Genomic DNA, 22,103 nt, shown 5'->3' with positions numbered 1-22,103 from the left:
GACACTGGCCCCGCCACCCGACCTCGAGGCTCCCCCGCAGGGATCCCCCCAGGCTGGCGGGGAGGAGGCCCGCTGACGGGAGCCGCCCTGCTCCTCGGAGCTGGCACCTGCAGAGGTGGGCTGGGCGGCCGAGGGGGCGGCACCGCGGGGGCCGGGCCCGCCCCTCACCAAACACCGCCGGGCGCCCGCGCACAATCCCGCCGCCCTGGGAGCCCAGGGAGACCATTGTGCGGCCGGCTACGCTGGGGGAGGGTGGCGCGCGGGAAGGGGGCGCCTCGGGGGCGTCCGGGGTGAAGGCGCGGGCAGGGGATCTCGGGCCGGGTGTGCCCTGGGTGGGTTCTGGGCGGGGTCTGGGCGCCAGGCTCCGGGGCGCCCCGGGGCGGGGAGGGCACCGCAGGCCGGGGCTGTTGGCGGACGGGGGTCAGCGGGCTCGGGCGGGCGGCGGCCGCTACCTTTGGCGAGCGCCACGGTGGAGTTGTCGGTGTCGATGGTGTAGAGAATGCCCTCGTAGCGGATCTGCGCCTTGGAGATGAGGCTGATCTTGCTGCCCAGATACGGGGTGCCTGAGGAGCCGCTCATGGCGGCGGCCGGGGTGCGTCGGGCCGCGGTGGGGAAGGAGCGCCGGGCCGCGGCCCGCTCCGCCGCCGCGCGGTGGCCTGGCCGCCCGCTCCTGCGCTCCTCCGCCCGCCGCCGCCTCCGCCTGGGCGCCTCCTCGCCACCGCCCGAGGGGCCTGCGCGGGCACCGAGCGAACCAAGAAGGGGCGCGCGACTGGGGCTCTGAGAGGAGCGCGGGGGAGGAGGGGCCGCCGCAGCCACATCCGGGGCCTCGCGCCGCCACGCACCGCCACGCACCGCCCCTTCACGCTCGCCGCCCATTGGCTCGCCGCGCCCGCCGTCCTTTAAATATGGCCGGGCCGCCAGCTGGGGGGCGGGCCCTCGCGTCGTTCCTGCGCAGCAAGGCGCCGCTGGCCGGGGGCGGGTCTCCCCGGCGATCCGCCCCACCCTCGGCCGGCTCCCGGCGGGCCCCTCGCGGAGCTGGGAGCACGAGACTGAGCGGGCGGGGGGAGGGGTGGGAAGCGGCCCGGGAGGAGCGCGCGTGCGCGTGGGCGGGCGGCTGCGGTTTGCACGCTCAGTGGGCGGGACCGGGGAGGAGCGCCAGGCCCCGCCCGCGCGCGTGCCGGCGCCGCCCCGGACCCTGGGCGCCGCGAACACGGGGGCTTTGCCCCCTTGGCCTCAGTTTCCCCTCCTACAGAAGTGGGGTCCGGACGACTCCCCTATCTTGGGCCAGATGCGCCTATAGCCCTCACCCTCATGGGGGACCGGGGAGTGGCGGAGGCCCTGGGCGCCGGGTGTTCCCGGGCAGCCCCGGGACTCCCGCCCCAGTGCCCAGGTGCCGGCGGGGGGCGGGCGCGGCGGCAGCTCCCGGGAAGGCGGCGCTTCCGGCGTGGCAGCCTCTAAATATAACATGCTGAGCACACTTTCTCTTTTAATCCTGCCCCTCCTCCCAAAGCCTGCCGCAGCTTTCCATTTCCCTTAAAATAAATTCTGACTGGCTACCGGGGGCCTCGGAGCCTCCGCTCGTACCCGGGGCTGCGGCCCGGAGGCCTTGCCCACCTCCCCGGCCGTGGAGGAAGCTCGGCCGCCCGCCGTCGCTTAGCTGCGGGCCCTCCTCGCGTATACTCCGCGTGATTAGTGACCGAGGGCGCGCGGTGTGTGCTTTTTTTGCTTCCGTCTTGACCGTGAACATCATCAGATCACGGACCAATATTGGGTCCTGGAAAAAAAAAGTAGTGGGTGGTGACTATAAAAATGCAATAGGCTGGGCGCGGTGGCTCACGCCTGTAATCCCAACACTTTGGGAGGCGGAGGCGGGCGGATCACTTGAGGTGAGGAGTTCAAGACCAGCCTGGGCAAAATGGTGAAACCCTGTCTCTACTCTAAAAATACAAAAAAACTAGCCGGGCGTGGTGACAGACACGTGTAATCCCCAGCTACTCGGGAGTCTGAGGCAGGAGAATCGCTTGAGCCTGAGACGTGAAGATTGCAGTCAGCAGAGATCTCACCACTGCATTCCAGCCTGGGCGACAGAGCTAGACCCCGTCTCAAGAAAAATAATAATAAAAATGAAATAGAATAAGCTAGAAGATATCAGATGGCGTGGTGGGTGGCTCATGCCTGTAATCTCAGCACTCTGGGAGGCCGAAGCGGGAAGATCACTGGAGGCCAGGAGTTTGAGATCAGCCTGGGCGACATATGGAGACCCCATCTCTACAAAAAAAAAAAAAACTTTAAAAAAAATTGGGCGAGTGTGGGGGCACATACTTGTAGTTCCAGCTCCTGGGGAGGTGGAGGCAGAGGCGGGAGGATCACTTGAGCCCAGGAGTTGGAGGCTGCAATGAGCTGTGATTGGACTACTGCACGCAGGGGTGGCAGCAAGACCCTATTTCTAAAGGAAAAAAAGAAAATAATAGTATCTCGCATGGTGAAAGTAAGTATTATTTTGTGAAATATTTAATTCACCTGTTTGTGTAAGTGTGGACTTGGTAAGGACCTAGAATGTGTTTCTGACTATAATAAGAAGATCTTACCTGCCCTGCAGGGTAGACGCTGTGACTCCCCATTTGACAGAAGGGGAAACAGAGGCCCAGCACGGGGGAGTCACGCAGAGAAGTTGCAGTCTGGCCTGGTGGCATCCTCCACAGGCTTGGGGCCGCATCACACTGTCTCTTGTCTCTTCACAAAGGTGAAGCCAACCTGCTCCCACCAGAGCCCGGCAATGGCCAGTAAGAGAACAGTGATGAGTTTAAGGAAGGGGACACAGGAAGCAGAAGAGAAGAGGGAAAATTCAGTTTCATCTGCCAAGATTGACCTGTACATTCTAGAATTGCTTCTTGGCTCCTGGAACATCATATGCAGGAAGAGAACAGAGACAGCAAAGCCATGGAGTCAGCCCAGCTCAGGGAGGAGAGGTCTCCAGCGACTGGGGCATCTGGCCCTGGGAAGCGCGACCCAGACTCTCAGCTTCTCAACACAGCACATCCTTCCCCACTTGGATATACAGGGTGCACCTGTCAGGAGGAGGTGCCAACCAGGTCTCCTGAGTGAGCTGGCCTGGTGATCCCATGTGGAGTCAAAGTCCTTCTGTCCCCCCACCCCACCCCATTTTCCAAGTAAGGAAATCCAAGGTCACAAATCCTGTACTTCATGCCTCCTAGTTTCTGAGCCACAGGCTTCTGGCTGTGTTGGGGGTGGGGTGCATGCTTCACTAGCAGGAGCTGATTCTGCCTTGAAAAGGAGCTGGCCTCTGAGCCCCCGGACTGAAGGCAGGGAGGGTGCAGTTCCCAGAGACCTCCGAGTGCCTGCCCAGCCCGTGGGTGTGCAGCTGGTGGCTCCCTGAGAACATTAGCCACCCTGCAAATGCCCAGGAAGGCAGAGGCTAAAAATATACGTAGTGCCCAGGTCCAGGAATGCAGGCCCTGCCATTCATTCCTTGGTATCCTGCCCAAAGTGGAGGGCACTTGGGTGAGGTCTGAGAAGGCGACAGTTGTGCCAGGCCTAAGTCGACCTGGACGTTCACTGGCATGGCTTGTTTTCCAGGCTGGGGCACATGTATCCAGCACCTCCACTATAAGCAGCTCTTTACTGTGCACAGGTCTGAACAGCCCACCTGCCTGGTAATCACCAGGCTTTAGACCAGCGAGCCCAAGGATTTGGAGGAATGAGCTGGGGCTTCTGGGAAACCCTGGGCCACTTGGACTGCCTGCCTCAGTTTCTTCATTTGCCTGTCCATCTCACTGGTGTGCTTGAGGACCCCGGAAGATCATGCCTGTGAAGGGCTTTGAGAGTAACCAGGGGCTATTCTGGAGGAACGTGTAGGAACTGGGTGTGCTGAGGGCACTGGGAGGGCCATAGGGACAGCTGGAGAGGTTTCTGCTGCAGCCACAAGCCACTCATTACGTGCTTGCTCTGTGTATGTAGGAGCATGCCGTGGTCCCCAGTGACAGGTGGGGAGACATGGAGTAAGGACCCTGCTCCACGTTGCATCACCAGTCTAGCTGGGGTGGCACAGGCCAGCATCCTGCAGCAGGTAAGGGTGCCCCACCACAGAAAACCATCCTGTGACTCTAATGTTCCCCTGAGCAAGAATGACTGGCACAGCCATTGATCTCACAGGTGTCATTGCTCAGTAGGCGCCACACAAAACAGCTGAGTTAATTCAGAGGGCGTTAACGATGGGTGGTCCACAGATAAGTCAGTGGTCTGAAGTGTGGCCACGTGCTGGTGAGACAGGACTCAACCGTCCCCGTCCCCTCATTCAGGATCTGGCGCAGGAGAGGGGATTGGGGAGGCCCTGCAGGCCTCAGGCCCCCTCCCCCGAGGAAGACCCTCCAACCGCACAGGTGCAACAGCACCAGCCTGAAGGGAGCTGAGGAGGGCACAGGTGTGCCGTGTGGGGAGGCTCAGGGCCAGCTTTGCTAGGAGGACTTCCGGGCAGGGAATGGGACAGTGAGGCCCAGGGAGGGTGTTCGGGGCACAGGGACCCACAGGTGGCTGGACAGTAAGGTGAGGAGGGAGGGCTGAGTTGATCCTGTACCATCAGGAATTCTCATGGAGGTCTGACCTGCTCTCTGTGAATCCAGTTAAAATCCATTTCCTCCTGCATGGGGCTCTGCAGGGCTGTTTTCCCGGGAGGCTGGATGAGCACCAGTGGGTTGAAGTTCAGGCATCCTCAGACCCTCTTCCCTCTTCCCATCCATCTCCCCCTCCTGCCTCCTGTCCCCCTTCCACCTCCCTTTCTCCCCTTCCCACCCCAACAGCCGAGTTTCCTGGCGTGAGGAGCCCTGTGTGATGGGAAGTTCCTTGGAAAATAAAAGAGGAGTGTGTTAAACTCCAGCACCTAGCGGGCAGCCTCGGCCCCGCTTCCAGGTGCAGCTGGAGGGACAGCTGGCTGGAGCTGATGAGAACCTGGGCAGACCCAGACACCAGCTTTCGAAATGTCAGATTCTGATAGGGCCAGCCCTGGTGCTGCCACCTCAGAATGCAGGATCAAATGCTGAGAGATCCTGGTGGAACAGAAGACGGGCTGTCAGCGGGAGGCTGGCAGCTTTTCTCTCCCGGTGGCTGTGAGGGGCTCCTGGGCTTTAGGGGCTCAGGAATGGCTGGGGTGGGGGCAGCATTCCCCAGCCCTGTGTTCTACTTGGATAGAAAGTAAACGATGAAAGGCCCCTTCTAAGTCAATCCACCACTGTCTTACTGAGTGTCACCAGCCCAGTCCCACCACTCAGTGCCAGACCTGGTGCCCAAGCCGGCCACGCATTTCCTCCCCGAACCCCTCCGCAGCCCTCCGGATGTGGTGCTGCACCTTGTGAGAGGAGGAAACCAGGCTCTCAGCCTGGGCTAGGTGACAGCCAGCGTCACACGGCCAGCACATGACAGGGCTGGGATTCCTGTGTCAGTCTGCCGGCTGCTAACCCTGGGTGCTCAACGTCCGGGCCTCCTCCCTGGTGGTCCTCTGTGCTCAGCCTTCAGGTTGGGGCGGGGGGAGGGGATAGTGAACGGCGGGAAGGGACAAAGCCCAGACACGATTTCTGCACTTGGAGCTCATGCTCTGCAGATGTCCAGATGGAGACTGACCTGAGGTTGGCACTGGGCATGAGGGAAGGAAGCAGCTTCTTCTTCAAGGGTCTCTCCTATTACATTGTATCCTCTCTTGACTCCATGCAAAGGATGCCGGGTGCGTCCTAGAGCGTTGCCATGGTTACTGAAGAGGCCTACGGGCTCATCCCAGCCAGGCTGGGCACTTGTCTTTACGCCTGCCTGATGCGGCACGAGCGCCTGCTGGGCAGGGTCACGGCCCAGGAATGAGGTCATGTAGATAAAGGAGCGGTGCAGATGTCGGGAGAGGTGTGCCAGGCTTCCCAAAGCCTGTCCTCACCAGGCAGCGCACCCGTGGACCCTCGTCCATGCACCAAGACATCCCCGTCGTCAGATGGAAAGCATTCTGCCAGGGCACGTGGTTATTTTTATTCGTGTTCAGTTCCGACTTGTTAACACCGTAATCCTTTCCTTATGTCGCTGCCTTCACCACCCTGAGAGCACAGGCTAGATTGAGGCTCTGTGTGGCAAGAAATGATGTGCATCAGAAGCCGGCAGGCAGCCACACGGGCCCACCGAGGTCGACCCTGGCAGTGAAGCCCATAACTGGCTGCGCGGGGGTGTGTGCGGCGGAAGGGGCAGGGCATGGGCCGGGTGAGAAGAAGGTGCGCCAGTGCAGGGCTGCCCCAGGCTTTTCCAGCAGGTACCAGGAGCTGGATGGGGAGGATGGCGCCTGAGACATTTCTGGTGGCTCATCTCGCTTAGACAGGCAGTCGCGGACGGACGCGAATACGTGTTAGTCTTTCCCAAGCACTGGAACATGGAAACCCCATTTGCCCTGGGAGCCTTGCTGCATTTGGGCCAGAGAGTGTTTACAAATGGCCTTCCCCACGCACCGCGGAATCTCAGAGTCTGGCCCTTCTGTGCTGGGTGGAACCGGAACTCGTGCCTTATTCATTTATGTGTCTAACAGCTTTATTAAGGTTGTTTATTTATTATATTCTATAATATTCACCCATTTGAAGTGTACAGTTTCGGCTGGGCACGTGGCTCATGCCTGTAATGCCAGCACTTTGGGAGGCCAAGGCGGGCAGATCATTTGAGGTCAGGAGTTTGAGACCAGCCTGAGCAACATGGTGAAACCCCATCTCTACTAAAAATACAAAAAAAAAAAGTTAGCTGGGCATGGTGGCGCATGCCTGTTGTCCCAGCTACTCAGGAGGCTGAGGCAGGAGAATTGCTTGAACCTGGGAGGTGGAGGTTGCAGTGAGCCGAGATTGCACCACTGTGCTCCAGGCTGGGCGAAAGAGCAAGACTCCGTCTCAAAAAAAAAAAAAAAAGAAAGAAAGAAACTGAAAATAACAGCAGACAAAATTCCTAATAGTTGAGTGCATGCTGGGCGTTGTGCTGAGCAGTTTATGTGTGTGGTGTTCAAAGCAACACTCTGGAACAGGTTTAATGAGTGTCCCCATTTTATAGCCAGGGAACTGAGGACCAGGGCAGTTAAAGAACATGCCCACTGTCCCAGCGGAGCCAGGATACAAACCCAGGCTGGAGAACCCATAGTCTTAGGCACAGTGTTACACATCCCACCCAGATATTTGCTGAGTAAATAAATGAACCCTGTCTGACTTTCCTGCCTGTCATCAACAAAGGCCAAGTGAGGTCAGGTGCGGTGGCTTACGCCTATAATCTCAGTGCTTTGGGAGGCCAAGGCAGGAGGATCACTTGAGGCCAGGAGTTTGAGACCAGCCTGGGCAACATAGTGAGACCCTGTCTCTACTAAAAATAAAATTAGCTGGGCATGGTGGCATGTGCCTGTAGTCCCAGCTATTCAGCAGGCTGAGGTGGAAGGATCACTTGAACCCAGGAATTCAAGGTTACAGTGAGCTGTGATCTTGCCACTGTACTCTAGCCTTGGTGACAGAGCAAGAGCCTCTCTCTAAAATAAATACATTAATACATAAATAAATAAAAATAAAGGCTGCGCCAGGCATGGTGGCTCATGCCTGTAATCCCAGCACTTTGGGAAGCTGAGGTGGGCAGATCACTTAAGCCCAGGAGTTCAAGATGAGCCTGGGCAACATGGCAAAACCTCATCTCTATAACACACACAAAAATTAGCCAGGCGTGGTGGCACTCACCTGTAGTCCCAGCTCAGGACTGAGGTGGGCAGATCACTTGAGCCCGGGAGGTGGAGGTTGCAGTGAGCCGAGATTGCACCACTGTACTCCAGCCTGGGTGACAGAATGAGACCCTGTCTCAAAAAAATTAAAAACTTTAAAAAGAAAGGCCAAGTGAGAGGGCTGTGGGCTGGTTTCTCTGGGAAGGAGACGCCAAGGAGCTGGAACTGAGGGTGCAGAAGTTAATGTGAGTTTCCCCCATGAGAGAAAACCTGGGGGAAGTGAATTAGGCTGGAGCTGTTGGCTGAGATGCTGACCTGACACAGCACCTGCTGAGCCGAGGGGGAGTTTGGCGAGTTGGGAGGAAAGAGTGGCTGGTACAGGAGCCCTGACGGGGCAGAGGGGCTGGTCCTGGTACTACCGTCTGACTCAGCCACTGGCTGCGGACACCCCAGCGGGCGCCACCTCAGCAAAATCAGAGGCAAACCCTCAAGGCTCTAGCAGCTGCAGGCAGGAAACTGGGGAATAGGCAGGTAACCCCTGGAGAAAGAGCTGGGCAGCAAGTCTCTTTCTTTCTTTTTTCTGACACAGAGTCTCGCTCTCTCTCCCAGGCTGGAGTGCAGTGGCATGATCTCGGCTCACTGCAAGCTCCGCCTCCCGGGTTCCCGCCATTCTCCTGCCTCAGCCTCCCGAGTAGCTGGGACTACAGGTATGCATCACGATACCGGGCTAATTTTTGTGTCTTTAGTAGATATGGGGTTTCATCATGTTGGCCAGGCTGGTCTCGAACTCCTGGCCTCAAGTGATCCACCTGCCTTGGCTTCCCAAAGTGCCAGGATTACAGGCTTGAGCCATCGCGCCTGGCCTCTTTCTTTTACCCTTTTTTTTGTTTTTGTTTTTGAGACGGAGTCTCGCTGTATTGCCCAGGCTGTAGTCCAGTGGCTCGATCTCGGCTCACTGCAACCTCCACCTCCTGGGTTCAAGCGATTCTGCTGCCTCAGCCTCCTGAGTAGCTGGGATTACAGGCACATGCCACCACGCCCGGGTAATTTTTGTATTTTTAGTAGAGATGGGGTTTCACCATGTTGGTCAGGCTGGTCTCAAACTCCTGACCCCGTGATCCACCTGCCTTGGCCTCCCAAAGTACTGGGATTACAGGTGTGAGCCACTTTTCTTTTTTTCTTTTTCTTTTAAAATTTAAACAGAGGCTTGCTGTGTCACCCGGGCTTGAGTGCAGTGGTGTGATGATGGCTCACTGCACCCTTGACTTCCCAGGCTCAAGCAATTCTCCTGCCTCAGCCTCCTGAGTAGCTGGGACTACAGGCATGCGCTACCACGCCCGGTTAATTGTTTGGTTTTTTTTTTCCAAGTTTTTGTAGAGAAGAGGTCTCCCTCTGTTGCCTCGGCTGGTCTTGAATCCCTGGGCTCAAGCTATCCTCCTTCCTCAGTCTCCCAAATCACTGGGATTACAGACATGAGCCCCCCCATGCCTAGTCCTTTTCTGAAGGGAGATCTGAGTGGTACATTTCTGTACCGTCCACCCCTTGTGCCCAGGGCCTTTGTCCCGTGCCTGGGCAGAGGCTGCTCCTTTGGGGTCTATAGCCCCTTTCAGGAGGGAAGATAGAGCAGGGAGGTGGGCAGAAGAGCCCCCATTGCTGTGGCTGAGCTGGGGCCCACCTGGCATGCGTTCCCTCCCTCCTGCATTCTCCCACCTCAGCTGTGGCCACTGCAGGTCCTGGAGGCTCACACTCCTTCCCTAAGCCCCGGCCACTGGACCTTCTCAGGCTGAGGTGGCCGCGCTTGTCCATGCAAGAAATGATCCGGCCAGGGGGTGCCATGATGCCCAAAAGGACCCTGAGCACCCTTGGAATCCAGTGCCACAAGTGTCCCCCAGTCTTGGCAGCATGCACTGACTGAGCCTTGCAGCCCCCCTGGGGGTGTGGCCTCTTTCCTCCAGTGTCAGCCCGGTGTGTCACCAGGTGGGCTATGGTCTGGTTTGGTGTCTGGTGGCCCAGAGAGGATTCAGGACAGCTCTCAGAGAGGAGGAGCTTGTTATCTTGTCAGGGAGAGAATTCTACACTACAGAATTCTGGGGAACAGTGGGCTCTTGATGGGGAAGGGGGCGTCTGAGGGGTCAAATGCTACAAACTCCTCAGCACAGTCTGCACATTCAGTCTGCACCCCCAGCAGGGTGTCCCAGGGCTCCCAACCAGGGCTCCTGACAGCCTAAGCTGTGACTCCGCTGGCTGCTGAGCCATCTCTGTGTTCAGCCACTGTGGCTGTGAAATCTGGACTTGAACTTGAGCTTGTTCTGCACCCCTGCCTGCTGCCTGCTGCCTGCCTGCCCTGAGGGCTTCTTGGAAGCCAACACGCTTGCTGGCTCTCACACTTAGTCTTCAGTTGTTTGTTAATTGCCCTCAGCTTGTCATTATCCATCTCTAAGTCAATGCGACTTAGTTAACAATCCTCCAATTCCATTATCCTCGCCCTCGCCACACATTTTAAGAACCCGAATCAGCTTGGGTTGTGGCACAGGGCTGGCCACGGTCTCTGCACCCTCTCATTCTCCCAGGTTATTGCAGGGAGAGCATGAACAGCTGGGCCGGCCAGGCTGGCTGTGCCCCTTGAACCAGGGAGAGTCCTGGTCACTGACCAGGTGGAGTGCGGTCCTGTCCACAAACCCATCTTGCTGCCTGCAGAAGTGCAGGCAGTCACGGCCTTACTCAGCAGTGACTCGGGTCACTGGAGAAGAACATGACCTGGCTTGAGATGGTCATCTGGAGGCTGCCAGCTTACTCCACCCCCTTCCTTGGATGGGGATCTGGGCAGCACCTTTCTGCCTCTGCCATGGAGAGGATGTCGGTATTCACTATAATCCATGCCCTCAACAATGTCCTCGTGTGCCATTTTGTGAGGAGTCATGCATACCCTTTGGGAAGCTGCCATAGTCCTTGTGTTTGAAATCAGCATCCACCCCATGCCCCTGCTGGATCAGACATGGGGCTCCCGCGGCCATGGCTGTGCTGCCCGGCCATCTCCTTTGTCACCAGTGATTGGATGGGATGGTCACCTGGCCAGGGGAACCAGTCCCTAGGCTGGGCCAACTAGTTCTCTCCTGGGAATCTGCATTTGGGGCACGAAGGAGGGTGCTGAGACTGATGATGGTAGGTCTTCTCACGGGAAGAGCACACAGGGCTGAGCTGGAGTCAGGGCCCCAGAGCAGCACCTATTATGGGGCTGCAGAGGATCTGGGAGCAGTGGAGAGAGGCAGGCAGTGGGGCCAACACGCCCAGGTGCAGCTCCAGGAGAGGTGGAGTCCTCCCCTCCCCTCCTTTCCCCTCCCCTCCCCTCCCCTCTTTTGAGCCTGAGTCTCAGTCTGTTGCCCAGGCTGGAGTGCAGAGTGCAGTGGCGTGACCACAGCTCACTGCAACCTCAACTTCCCAGACTCAAGCAATTCTTCCACCTCAGCCTTCTGAGTAGCTGGGACTGTACAAGCATGCACCACCACACCCAGCTTTTTTTTTTTTTTTTTTTTTTTTATTGAGAGAGAGGTGGGGTCTCACTATGTTTTCCTGGGCTCAAGGGATCCTCCCACCCTCACCTCCCCCAGTGCTGGGATTACAAGCATGAGCTGCCTGGTCTCATTTCATTAAAAAAATTTTTTTACGCATACATAGTAGTTGTATATATTCATGGGGTACATGAGATACTTTGATACAGGCATGCAGCATCTATTTTATTTTTTATTTTATTATTTATTTATTTATTTATTTTTCTTTTGAGACGGAGTCTCTCTCTGTCACCCAGGCTGGAGTGCAGTGGCGCCATCTCGGCTCACTGCAAGCTCCGCCTCCCAGGTTCACGCCATACTCCTGCCTCAGCCTCCCGAGTAGCTGGGACTACAGGCACCTGCCACCACGCCCGGCTAATTTTTGTACTTTTAGTAGAGATGGGGTTTCGCCATGTTAGCCAGGATGGTCTCGATCTCCTGACCTTGGCCTCCCAAAGTGCTGGGATTACAGACGTCAGCCACCGCGCCCAGCCTCAGCCGGTCACTTCTTGAATGCTTTGCTGCTTAGAAACTTCTTCTAGCAGATACTCTAAATCATCACTATGAAGTTCAAACTACCATGGATCCCTGGGACATGAACAGAATACAGCCAAGTTATTTGCTAAGGCATAACAATGGTGACCTTTGCTCCAGTTCTCAACAAGTTCCTCATTTCCATCTCAGACTTTGGCAGCCTGGACTTCATTGTTCTTATCATTATCAACATTTTGGTCACAACCATTTAACCTGTTTCTAAGAGGTTCCAAAGCTTCCTTCATCTTCTTGTCTTCTTCTGAGGCCTCCGAACTCTACCAACCTCTGTCTGTTACCCAGTTCCAAAGTTGCTTCCAAATTTTCAGGTATCTTTATAACAATGCCCCCACTCCTTGGTAACAATTGTCTGTATTAGGCTGTTTTTGCATTGCTATAAAGAAATACCTGAGACTGGCCTGGCACAGTGGCTCACGCCTGTAATCCTAGCACTTTGGGAGGCCAAGGCAGGTGGATCACGAGGTCAGGAGATCGAGACCATCCTGGCTAACACGATGAAACCCCATCTCTACTAAAAATACAAAAAATTAGCCAGGCGTGGTGGCGGGTGCCTGTAGTCCCAGCTGCTCGGGAGGCTGAGGCAGGAGAATGGCATGAACCCAGGAGGTGGAGCTTGCAGTGAGCCGAGATTGCACCACTGCACTCCAGCCTAGGCGATAGAGCGAGACTCCGTATCAAAAAAAAAAAAAAAAGAAAGAAAGAAAAAGAAAAAAGAAATACCTGAGACTGCATAATTTTTTTTTTTTTGAGACAGTCTCACCCTGTCACCCAGGCTGGAGTGCAATGGCGTGATCTCAGCTCACTGCAACCTCCGCCTCCCAGGTTCAAACGATTCTCGTGCCTCAGCCTCCCGAGTAGCTGGGATTACAGGCATGCGCCACCACGTCCGGCTAATTTTTTGTATCTTTAGTAGAGATGGGGTCTCACTATGTTTGCCAGGCTGGTCTTGAACTCCTCACCTCCTGATCCGCCTGCCTTTGCCTCCCAAAGTGCTGGGATTACAAGCGCGAGCCACCGCACCTAACCATGACTGTATCATTTATAAGGAAAGAAGTTTAATTGACTCATGGTTCTGTAGGCTTTACAGGCATCTGCTTCTTGGGAGGCCTCAGGAAGTTTCCAATCATAGTGACAAAAGAAGTGGGAGGAGACACATCACACAGTGAGAATGGGAGCAAGGTTGGTGTGCCACACACTTTTAAATTACCAGATTTCATGAGAACTCACTCGCTATTGCAAAGACAGCACGAAGCGATAAGAGATCCACCCCCATGACCCAGACACCTCCCATCAGGGCCCACCTCCAATGCTGAGGATTACAATTCAACATGAGATTTGTACAGGGGCAAATATACAAGCTATATCAATTACTTTTTTTTTTTTTTTTTTTTTTTGAGACAGAGTCTCACTCTATTGCCCAGGCTGGAGTGCAGTGGCACAATCTCTGCTCACTGCAAGCTCCGCCTCCCGGGTTCACACCATTCTCCTGCCTCAGCCTCCTGAGTAGCTGGGACTACAGGCGCCCGCCACCATGCCCGACTACTTTTTTTTGTATTTTTAGTAGAGGCAGGGTTTCACCGTGTTAGCCAGAATGGTCTCGATCTCCTGACCTCATGATCTGCCCACCTCGGCCTCCCAAAGTGCTGGGATTACAGGCGTGAGCCACTGCACCCGGACTATCGATTAGTTTTGTGTTAAGTTTTGTATATAGTGTGAGGTAGTATCCAACTTCATTCTTATGCATGTTGATATTCAGTTTTCTCAGCACCATTTGTTGAAAAGACTGTTTCAACAAATTTCCCATTGAAGGTGCCTGGTACCCTTGGCAAAAACCAGTTGCCCATAAATGTGAGAGTTTCTTTCTGGTCTCTCTGTTCTATTCCATTGGTCTATATGTCTGTCCTTATTCTAGCACCACACTGCTCTGATTACTGTAGCTTTGTAGTGAGTTCTGATATTGGAAAGTATGAGTTCTCTAATTTTGTGCTTCTTTTTCAAGATTGCTTTGATTATTCTGGATTCCTTGCCTTTCCATATGAATTTAGGGATAGTTTGTCAATTTCTGCAAAGAAGGTAATTGGGAATTTGATAGGGATTGTGTTGAATCTGCCATACCAGTGGCATCAGGGAAATGCAAATAAAAACCAATTTGGGCAGCAATGTCATCTTAAAAATATTCGGCTTCCAACCCATGAACATAGGATGTCTTTCCACTTCTTTAGGTCTTTTAAAATTTCTTTCAACAACGTATTGTCGTCTTCAGAATATGTGTTTTGCACTTATCTTGTTAAGTTGACTCCAAAGTATTATGGAATTGTTCTCTTCATCTCACTTTTGGTTTGTTGATTACTGCTGTATAGAAACACAATTGATTTTCATACATTGATCTTATACCCTGCAGCCCTGTTGTACTCATTTATTAGCTCTAATAGTTATTATTTATTTGTTTATTTTGGGACAGGGTCTGTTACCCAGGCTGGAGTGCAGTGGTGTGATCATAGCTCACTGCAACCTTAAGCTCCTAGGCTCAAGTGATTCTCCTGTCTCAGCCTCCCAAGTAGCTGGGACTATAGGCATGTGCCACCATGCCTGGCTAATTTTTAATTTTTTTGTAGAGCTGGGGTCTTGCTACATTGCCCAGGATAGTTTTGAACTCCTGGGCTCAAGCAATCCTCCCACCTCAGCCTCCCAAAGTGCTAGTTCTAATATTTTTTCAGTGGCTTAGGATTTTCTATGTACAAGGTCATGTCATCTGCAAATAGAGATGACTTTACTTCTTCATTTTCTTTTCTTTTCTTTCTTTTTGAAATGGAGTTTTGCTCTTGGTGTCTTGTTCCAGGCTGGAGTGCAATGGCATGATCTTGGCTCACTGCAACCTCTGCCTCCCAGGTTCAAATGATTCTCCTGCCTCAGCCTCCTGAGTAGCTGGGAGTACAGGCATGCACCACCATGCCCAGCTAATTTTGTATTTTTAGTAGAGACAAGGTTTCTCCATGTTGGTCAGGCTGGTCTCGAACTCCCGACCTCAGGTGATCCACCCGCCTCGGTCTCCCAAAGTGCTGGGATTACAGGCGTGAGCACTGCACCCAGCCTACTTCTTCCTTTTCAATATGGATGCCTTTGTTGTATCTTCTTGCTTAATTGCCAACTCCCTCTCTTTTTATAGATGGGGCTCAGAGAAGAAAAGTGACTTTCTGGGTTGCTCAGCTGGGGACTGGCAGTTGGGGCTGATGCCCCACTGAGTAGAGGCAACTGCTGCCTCCCTGGCCCTTCCTTCCCCACCTATGTTATTGCCTTTTACTGCTGGGCCTCTCACTGGGGTCCTGGAACTCAGCACACCAGCACATGTAAGGCCTTGTGTGGCCATGGGGATGGGGAGGGCCCAGCATGCTCCAGCGTTTCCAGGAAAGCCTGTGAGGATCCTGTCTCCCCACAGCAGGACTCCCAGGAGTCTCCCTGACTTTGATGGCCTCCTGTGGTGAGAGGCTGGCTCTTATGAGCACATGGCAGGCTAGGTCTTCATCAACTTTAGAGGCGCGAGCTGCTGCGCCTGGCCAAGACTGCAGCATTGATAAGGAAAGAAGTTTAATTGACTCAAGGTTCTGCAGGCTTTACAGGAAGCATAGTGGCATCTGCTTCTTGGGAGGCCTCAGGAAGTTTCCAGTCATAGTGACAAAAGAAGTGGGAGCAGACACATCACACGGTGAGAACGGGAGCAAGGTTGGTGTGCCACACACTTTTAAATTACCAGATCTCATCAGATGGCAAAACCAGATGCTTCCCCAGATGCCGTTCCGCAAGATGGAGCTCTCTGGAGTGCTGGTTACTTCTGCGCCCAAGCCAGTGGGCTGTCTCTCCTGGATGCCAAATTAGGGTAAGAAGCTGACTTGACCCTGACCCCAGGCAGGTAGGGACCGGCAGGTGCATGGGGCAGCTTGATGCACTCTCCCCTCAGGGCATCAAATGGCAGTAGAGTCCAGCCAGGCACCCCCTGCCTTCCCAGGAGCCCCTTTTCTGGGGCTCTGTAGATACCCCCTCACTCTGGGAGGTACATGATGAGGGAAAACCAGGCTGGGGTTGCCCTCATGGAGCATCCAGTTGAGAGGGGGAAGGAGAGGTAAACCAGATACTCACCTGGCTGAGTAATGACCAGCAGCCAAGCAAGCACAGAGAAGACAAGGAGAGGGTGCATGAGGCCTGACCCTATAGGGGCCCCAAGGAAGTGACAGCGAGCCCCAAATTGAAGAATGCATGGAGGTTAACGAGGCAAAGACAGGAAACTGCATGGCAAAGGTCCCGTGGCAGAAGGGAAGATGGCACCTCTGGGGAGCTAGAAGGAGACCAGAGTGGCTGGAGGGGCAGAGGTGTAGGTGGCGTAGAGTGAGGTAAGGCTGGGAGGGTTAGGGTGGGAGAGTGGGGGCACAGGTATGGGTGGGCCAAGGAGAGGCTGGGCAAGGGGCAATGGGGAGCTTCAAAAGGTTCGAGTGAGGCCCCTTATGTCTGAAGACCAGGCAGGGACATCTCTGCAGAATGCATCCCAGGGCAGGCCCAGTCCCCAAGAAGAGCTCGAGCAGAACACTTTTTTATCTTTTTTTTTTTTTTTTTTTTTTGAGACAGGATCTCGTTCTGTAACCCAAGCTGGAGTGCAAGGGTGCGGTCACAGCTCATTGCAGCATCGACCTCCTGGGCTCAAGTGATCCTCCTGCCTTAGTCTTCTGAGTAGCTGAGACTACAGACATGTACCACCATGCCCAGCTGATTTATTTATTTATTTGAGACGGAGGTTCACTTTTGTCACCCAGGCTGGAGTGCAATGGCGCGATGTCGGCTCTCTGCAACCTCTGCCTCCTGGGTTCAAGTGATTCTCCTGCCTCAACCTCCTGTGTAGCTGGAATTACAGGCGCTCACCATCATGCCTACCTGATATTTTTATTTTTGTACAGACAGGGTCTCACTATGTTGCCCAGGCTGGTCTTGAACTCCTCTGCCTCCCAAAGTGCTGGGATTACAGGCGTGAGCCACCATGCCCGGTGTCATCATCTTAATGATTAGAACATTGCCAAGTCCACAGGGGTTCAAACATGGTTGATTTATCACTCTGGTAGTGAGTCTAGTTCAAAGTCAGCATTAGCCTCTTGAATTATTTATAAGCTAAATGTGTAAACATGAAGAATTTAAATAACAATGTAAGGTTATTTGTAATTATGTCCAGAAATAAAGGTTATAGGCAAGAACTTCTTGAGAACAAAGAGAAAGAGAAAAGTAATGTGAGAAAGGCCTTTGGATAAAGGTTTTGGGGGTGTAAAAGGCAACAACCCAGTCCTAAGAAAATAGAGTTGAACTGATATTCAGCTACACACGCATCTATCCATGCATCCACCCACGCATCTACTCATCTGCCCATGAATTTGCTTATCCTTCTATTCATGCACATATCCATCTATCTACCTACCCACCTATCTGTTCATTCACCCATCCATCTGCCCATCCATCCATCCATCCATCTGCACATCCATCCATCCATCCATCCGCCCATCCATCCATCCATCCATCCATCCATCCATCTACCCATCCATCCATCCATCCATCCATCCATCCATCCATCCATCTGCCCATCTATCCATTCATCCATCCATCTGCCCATCTGTCCATCCATCCATCCATCCATCTGCCCATCTATCCATCGACCCATCCATCCATCCGTCCGTCCATCCATCCATTCATTTCTATTATTCATTCATACATTTATGCATTGTCTTGGGTCTGGAAACACAATAATGAACTGAACACAACAGGGCTCTCCCTTGCGGAGCTGGCAGAGATCAGCTGCAGCTGGTGGCAGAGACCAACGTATACCCAAGTGTGTGCTTGAGATGGGGTAAGGCTTCTTGATAGGCAGGTGCAGGCTGCAGGGAGGTGGGGGGAGCAGGATGGGGGCGCTGCTCCCTCTAGGAAGGTGAGAAGGCCTCCCAAGGAAGGAGCCGGTGTGATGGGGCTTCTCTCTGCTCCCAGCAGACGCAGACCCTCCCCACACTGGCCTGTCCGCTCCTCCTCCTCCTCCATCTGGGGCCTTTGCTCAGCCCATGGTCTTGTCTGGAAAGCCACCTCCCCTCTACCTGGCTGATTTCTGCCCGTACTCCCACCTCTTCCAGGAAGCACTCCCTGATTAGTATCCACGTGACCTGTGTTTCTCAGAAATGCTAAGAACATTCACTGTTTGGATGAAGAACACAATATTTTTTTTTCTTTCACATGCACTGGATGACTTCACCGTGTTTACTGTCTTTGGTTTTGTTCCAAAGTGGTTGTAAAAGTTGGGCCTGAGATGTGCAAACATCATTCTTGGTTGCTGTTTGTGCGCCTGGCTGAGTCCAAGTCCTTACAGGCAGTCCCTCCTGCCTCCCGTGTATCCCTCACTCCCACCTCCCCCAACACCTAACTCTTCCTCCTTTCCCAAGGGCTCCCTCCCACCTCCCCCTCCTTTTCTCCACCTCCCCTGCCTCCCACCTCCTCTTCCCATTCCACCCATCTCTTGTCTCCTTCCTTCCACACGGCTCCTCCCCCGGCCCCCCTGGGCTCCCTTCCCTTCTGCTGAGTCCTCTCCTGGGAACTTCAGCTTTCCCCTCTCTTCAGAGCCATCCCTAGTAGCCCCCAAGTATCCTGCAATTTTGTCCACTCTAAACCCCCCTCCCGTAACCCCCTATCCCCGGCAAGCTTGCCTCCTGTTTTCTGCAAACGCCAGAGGAACTGCCCCTGCAATCACTGCCATTCTGCCACAAGCTGATGCTGTCGTGGTCAAGGTCACCCATGACTTCCTGGAGATTAAGTCCCTTAAGCTGTCCTCTGGGGTGGGGAGGGGCAGCTCGGCCACAGTCCCCCCTCCTACTGCTGCCGGGCTCCCCAACATCCCCTGGTTTCCTCTCTCTGCTGGCCCCACTTCTAGTCTCCCTCGGGTTCCTCCTGGGGCTCAGCGCCCAGTCCTGGCCTGGCCATGTGCAACCTCACCACGTGGGGGCTTCTCCCTGAGCTGCAGCCCCCATGGCTCCCGGACCGCAGGTTCCCGTCCCCCTGGGGCTGCGTGCAAAGGACTGCAGTTCTGATGCCAGGGATGCAGATCTGTCTCCACCCGCCCCAGTGGCATCGGTCCCCACCACCAGTGCTCAGGCAAAGGCCCTGGAGCTCTCCATGACCCCCACGTCGTTCTCTCACAGCTGGGGCCAGGAAATCTCAATGCCTTGACTTTCAACACCTATGCAGAATCCAACGACACCTAACCTGCAGCCACACGGCCCCCGCCGCGGCCACCTTGCTTGTGTTACAGGAGGAGCCTCTGCCTGGCCCTCCTCTGCCCTGGCCCCTCACCTGGTGCACACAAGGCCAGGGGGGATCCCTTCCGGAATGTGGAGAGGCCTGGGGATCTGCCCAACCGCCCACCTCCCTGTTCCTCCCCCTTGAGGTGCCACTCGGGTCCCCCTGCTGTCCCCTGAGGACACTCCTGCCTTGGTGCCCTCTCATCTGCTGCCCCTGCCTGGAGACTCTTCCTCCAGACCCCACGTGGCTGGGCCTCAGCCTCCTCTGCTCTCGGAGAGGCCACCCGGCTCAAATGGCAAGCAGCTCCTCCCTGCCACCCTGGGTCCACCCTGCACTCAACCCATCTTTGCCTCATGTTCTTTCTGGCTCCCCGGCTGGCATGCCTACCCCGTGAGGGTGGCATGCGTCCCCAGCTCCCACAGCAGGCACGGAGGGGCACCAGCCCAGGCCTGAGGAGTGAAGGGCTCCGAGGCTGCCCCTGCACAGTGGAGGGGAGAAGGGGCCTAGAGCTGCCCCACAGTCACCCTAACTCCCTCGGCCCAGGGGTCATAGACTCACTAGTAGGAACGGTGCTAATGCTGGGGAGCGGGCAGATTTGAGGGGCACAGATCCTACCCCAGGGGGTGGGGCAGTTGTCACCCCAGGCCATTTTTTAAAAATTAAAAGTAAATTTTTATTTTACAGATAAATACATTGACACTCAGAAAAATGAAGTGGCTTGTCAAGAAGCCCCAGCTCTAAGCAGACAGACAATGCTGCTTTGTGGGAACTCGGCTCCAGAGCTGTTTTTTCTTTTTTTGAGACGGAGTCTCACTCTGTCGCACAGGCTAAGTGCAGTGGTGCGATCTCAGCTCACTGCAACCACCGCCTCCTGGGTTCAAGTGATTCTCCTGACTCAGCCTCCCGAGTAGCTGGGATTACAGGCATGCACCACCATGCCCAGCTAATTTTTTGTATTTTTAGTGGAGACAGGGTTTTACCGTGTTGGCCAGGCTAGTCTTGAACTCTTGACCTCAGGTGATCCACCTGCCTTGGCCTCCCAAAGTGCTGGGATTATAGGCGTGAGCCGCTGTGCCTGGCCCAGAGCTGGTTTTTAAGAGGAGCTGTGTGTTAGGCTGTGGGGTTTTTTTTGTTGTTGTTTCTTTTTTTTTTTTTTTTTGCATTGCTATAAAGAGATACCTGAGGCTGGGTAATATAAAGAAATAAGTTTAATTGGCTCACGGTTCTGCAGGCTGTACAAGCATGGCATCGCCAGCTGCTCGGCTTCCGGGGGTCCTCAGGGAGCTTCCACTCAGGCAGAAGGGGAAGCAGGAGCAGGCACATTACCCGGCGAGAAGAGGAACAGGAAAGAGTGCGGGGCGGTGCCACACGCCTCTAAACAATCAGATCTTGGAGAACTCACTATGGCAGGACAGCACCAAGCCACGAGGGATCTGTCCCCAGGACCCAGACACCTCCCGCCAGGCCCACTTCCAGCACTGGTAGCCACAGTTCAACAGGAGATTTGGAGGGGATGAACATCCAACCTATAGCAAGCTGGAAGTCTGAATGTGACGAGAAGTCTCCTGATTTTGTTTGTCGGCTACTCCTACAACTGCCCCATAACACTGTGCCCCGGATTCTTCCCGAGGTGGGAGGACCGAGGGCAGAGGCTCCTGGCCCAGTCACCCAACCCCACTTCCGGGCTTCAGCTCTTGGGCCAGGTGGGCACACTCTGTCTTCTTTTTCTTGTGCAAGTGACATCCCAGGTGCCATTTCTCGAGGTTGCCAGGCTTCCCAGCCTCTGGCTCCTGCTTGTGTCTTTGTAGGGGAGGTGGCTATGATGGTGACAGCACATTCGAAGCAGCAGTGGTTACAGTTTCCTTCTAAAAATACATTGAAGACAGAGTCAAATGTAAGGGGGTGACTTCTGGTTCAGCACAGCGTGCAGAGCACACGCTTCTCCCTGGATCTTGGACCACAGAGGGGACACTGCTGACCTTGCTCCTCTGGGGCATCCCCTCCCTAGACTCACGGGAGGACCACAGAGGACACGGCTGACCCTGCTTATCTGTGGGCATCTCCTCTCTGGCTCAGCTGGAAGACAGACAGCTGGGCAGTACCAACTGGGCAGACCAGGGAGAGGCAGAGCCCAGGCACACAGGGTGGGGAATCCCCAGGACCCCAGAGGGACTCCATCCAGAAGGCCAGGCAGCTCTGAAGGTGGAGCATGGGGTGGACTGGGAGCTCAGACCCACCCCTAGGAGACTGCTTTTCCTACAGATGCAGGCAGAAGACAGGGGTCCAGGTGCTGCTCTCAGGAGTCAGGGCTGGGAGGTTCTGGGCTGGGGCCAGGGGTAGGCACAGCCTGTGAGAGAGCAAGGCACTGAGGAGGGCCAGGAGATCAGGTCACAGCCACATCCTGAAAGGTGGCCTGAGCCCTTTACTCTGCTCCCTCCCCGAGTGCCAACAGCCTGATGTGTCTCCCGGGTGGGAGGTGGGGGCTCTGTGGAATTGCGCTGGCCTCTTAAGAACCCTGACCACATATTCAGACCTTGCTGCTTCCCCCTCTGAGGTCCACCCTGGAGCAGCCCCTCATCCCCCTACACCCACACTGCTCCACCTCAGCACTTTTGAGCCTCTCATGAAGACACGTGGACCCCAAGGGTCACTGGACTTTGAAGAAGAAAAAGACCCCACACGAAAGACAGATCCCACATCCCCATGCACCAAAGAAGGGAGCTTGGGGGAAAGAGTAGCAACCTGAGGAACAAAAAATATAAAAAAGAAAAAACCTTATTGCTGATACCCTTGGAGAGAGAAGAGAAAACAGCACATCCATGACCTAAGAACAGGATGTAATAAAAAAGGAACAGTGAGAAATTAAGAAAGAGCTCTTGGAAATGAAAAAAAAAAAGCACAAATGAAAACTTCCATAAAAGATAAATTTCTCAGGCGGGGCGTGGTGGCTCACATGTGTAATCTCAGCACTT

At 54.7% G+C, this 22,103-nt stretch overlaps 1 protein-coding gene and 1 long non-coding RNA gene across 21 annotated transcripts in view, besides 6 other annotated features; one reads left to right on the top strand and one right to left on the bottom strand.

Moving 5' to 3' along the window:
- Positions 1-462: part of a silencer, noted in NCBI's record as "silent region_13097", that runs on past the window's edge. NCBI's record gives its function as "represses an Ori minimal core promoter by ATAC-STARR-seq in GM12878 lymphoblastoid cells {active_cell/tissue: GM12878}" and the evidence as "EXISTENCE:reporter gene assay evidence [ECO:0000049][PMID:35858748]".
- Positions 1-571: part of an enhancer, noted in NCBI's record as "H3K27ac-H3K4me1 hESC enhancer chr20:60697731-60698419 (GRCh37/hg19 assembly coordinates)", that runs on past the window's edge. NCBI's record gives its function as "activates a minimal SCP1, AML or CMV promoter by ChIP-STARR-seq in primed H9 embryonic stem cells {active_cell/tissue: H9 hESC(primed)}" and the evidence as "EXISTENCE:reporter gene assay evidence [ECO:0000049][PMID:30033119]".
- Positions 1-771, bottom strand: part of LSM14B (LSM family member 14B) — a 12,900-nt gene extending 12,129 nt beyond the window's left edge. For 11 of the 17 annotated variants that reach the window (XR_936508.3, XR_936509.3, XM_011528605.3 and 8 more), the window contains exon 1: positions 453-771. Coding sequence is in view for 9 of the 17 variants with exons in the window: in XM_011528605.3 (XP_011526907.1) it covers positions 453-579 (127 nt within the window). In the remaining 8 variants the exon portion in view is untranslated. Of the gene's footprint in view, positions 1-22; positions 142-452 lie in introns of those variants that run through there. The other 6 variants (XM_047439933.1, XM_024451841.2, XM_011528612.3 and 3 more) reach the window with 2 other exon arrangements.
- The window catches only part of LOC105372706 (uncharacterized), a 22,542-nt gene extending 439 nt beyond the window's left edge, over positions 1-22,103 (top strand). Inside the window, exons 2-4 of one of the 4 annotated variants that reach the window (XR_936962.2) lie at positions 3,653-4,087; positions 15,572-15,694; positions 20,363-22,103. This is a non-coding gene — a long non-coding RNA (uncharacterized LOC105372706). Of the gene's footprint in view, positions 1-3,224; positions 4,088-15,571; positions 15,695-17,972; positions 18,175-20,362 lie in introns of those variants that run through there. The other 3 variants (XR_007067697.1, XR_007067698.1, XR_936963.2) reach the window with 3 other exon arrangements.
- Positions 572-1,259: an enhancer, noted in NCBI's record as "H3K27ac hESC enhancer chr20:60697043-60697730 (GRCh37/hg19 assembly coordinates)". NCBI's record gives its function as "activates a minimal SCP1, AML or CMV promoter by ChIP-STARR-seq in primed H9 embryonic stem cells {active_cell/tissue: H9 hESC(primed)}" and the evidence as "EXISTENCE:reporter gene assay evidence [ECO:0000049][PMID:30033119]".
- Positions 572-1,712: a biological region, named in NCBI's record as "H3K27ac hESC enhancer GRCh37_chr20:60697043-60697730".
- Positions 623-1,712: a silencer, noted in NCBI's record as "silent region_13096". NCBI's record gives its function as "represses an Ori minimal core promoter by ATAC-STARR-seq in GM12878 lymphoblastoid cells {active_cell/tissue: GM12878}" and the evidence as "EXISTENCE:reporter gene assay evidence [ECO:0000049][PMID:35858748]".
- Positions 9,800-10,606: an enhancer, noted in NCBI's record as "H3K4me1 hESC enhancer chr20:60687696-60688502 (GRCh37/hg19 assembly coordinates)". NCBI's record gives its function as "activates a minimal SCP1, AML or CMV promoter by ChIP-STARR-seq in naive H9 embryonic stem cells {active_cell/tissue: H9 hESC(naive)}" and the evidence as "EXISTENCE:reporter gene assay evidence [ECO:0000049][PMID:30033119]".

Source organism: Homo sapiens, chromosome 20 (assembly GCF_000001405.40).
Source record: "Homo sapiens chromosome 20, GRCh38.p14 Primary Assembly".
Taxonomy (NCBI): domain Eukaryota; kingdom Metazoa; phylum Chordata; class Mammalia; order Primates; family Hominidae; genus Homo; species Homo sapiens.
Note: the sequence above shows the minus strand (reverse complement) of the source record. Positions and strands in the feature narration are given on the sequence as shown.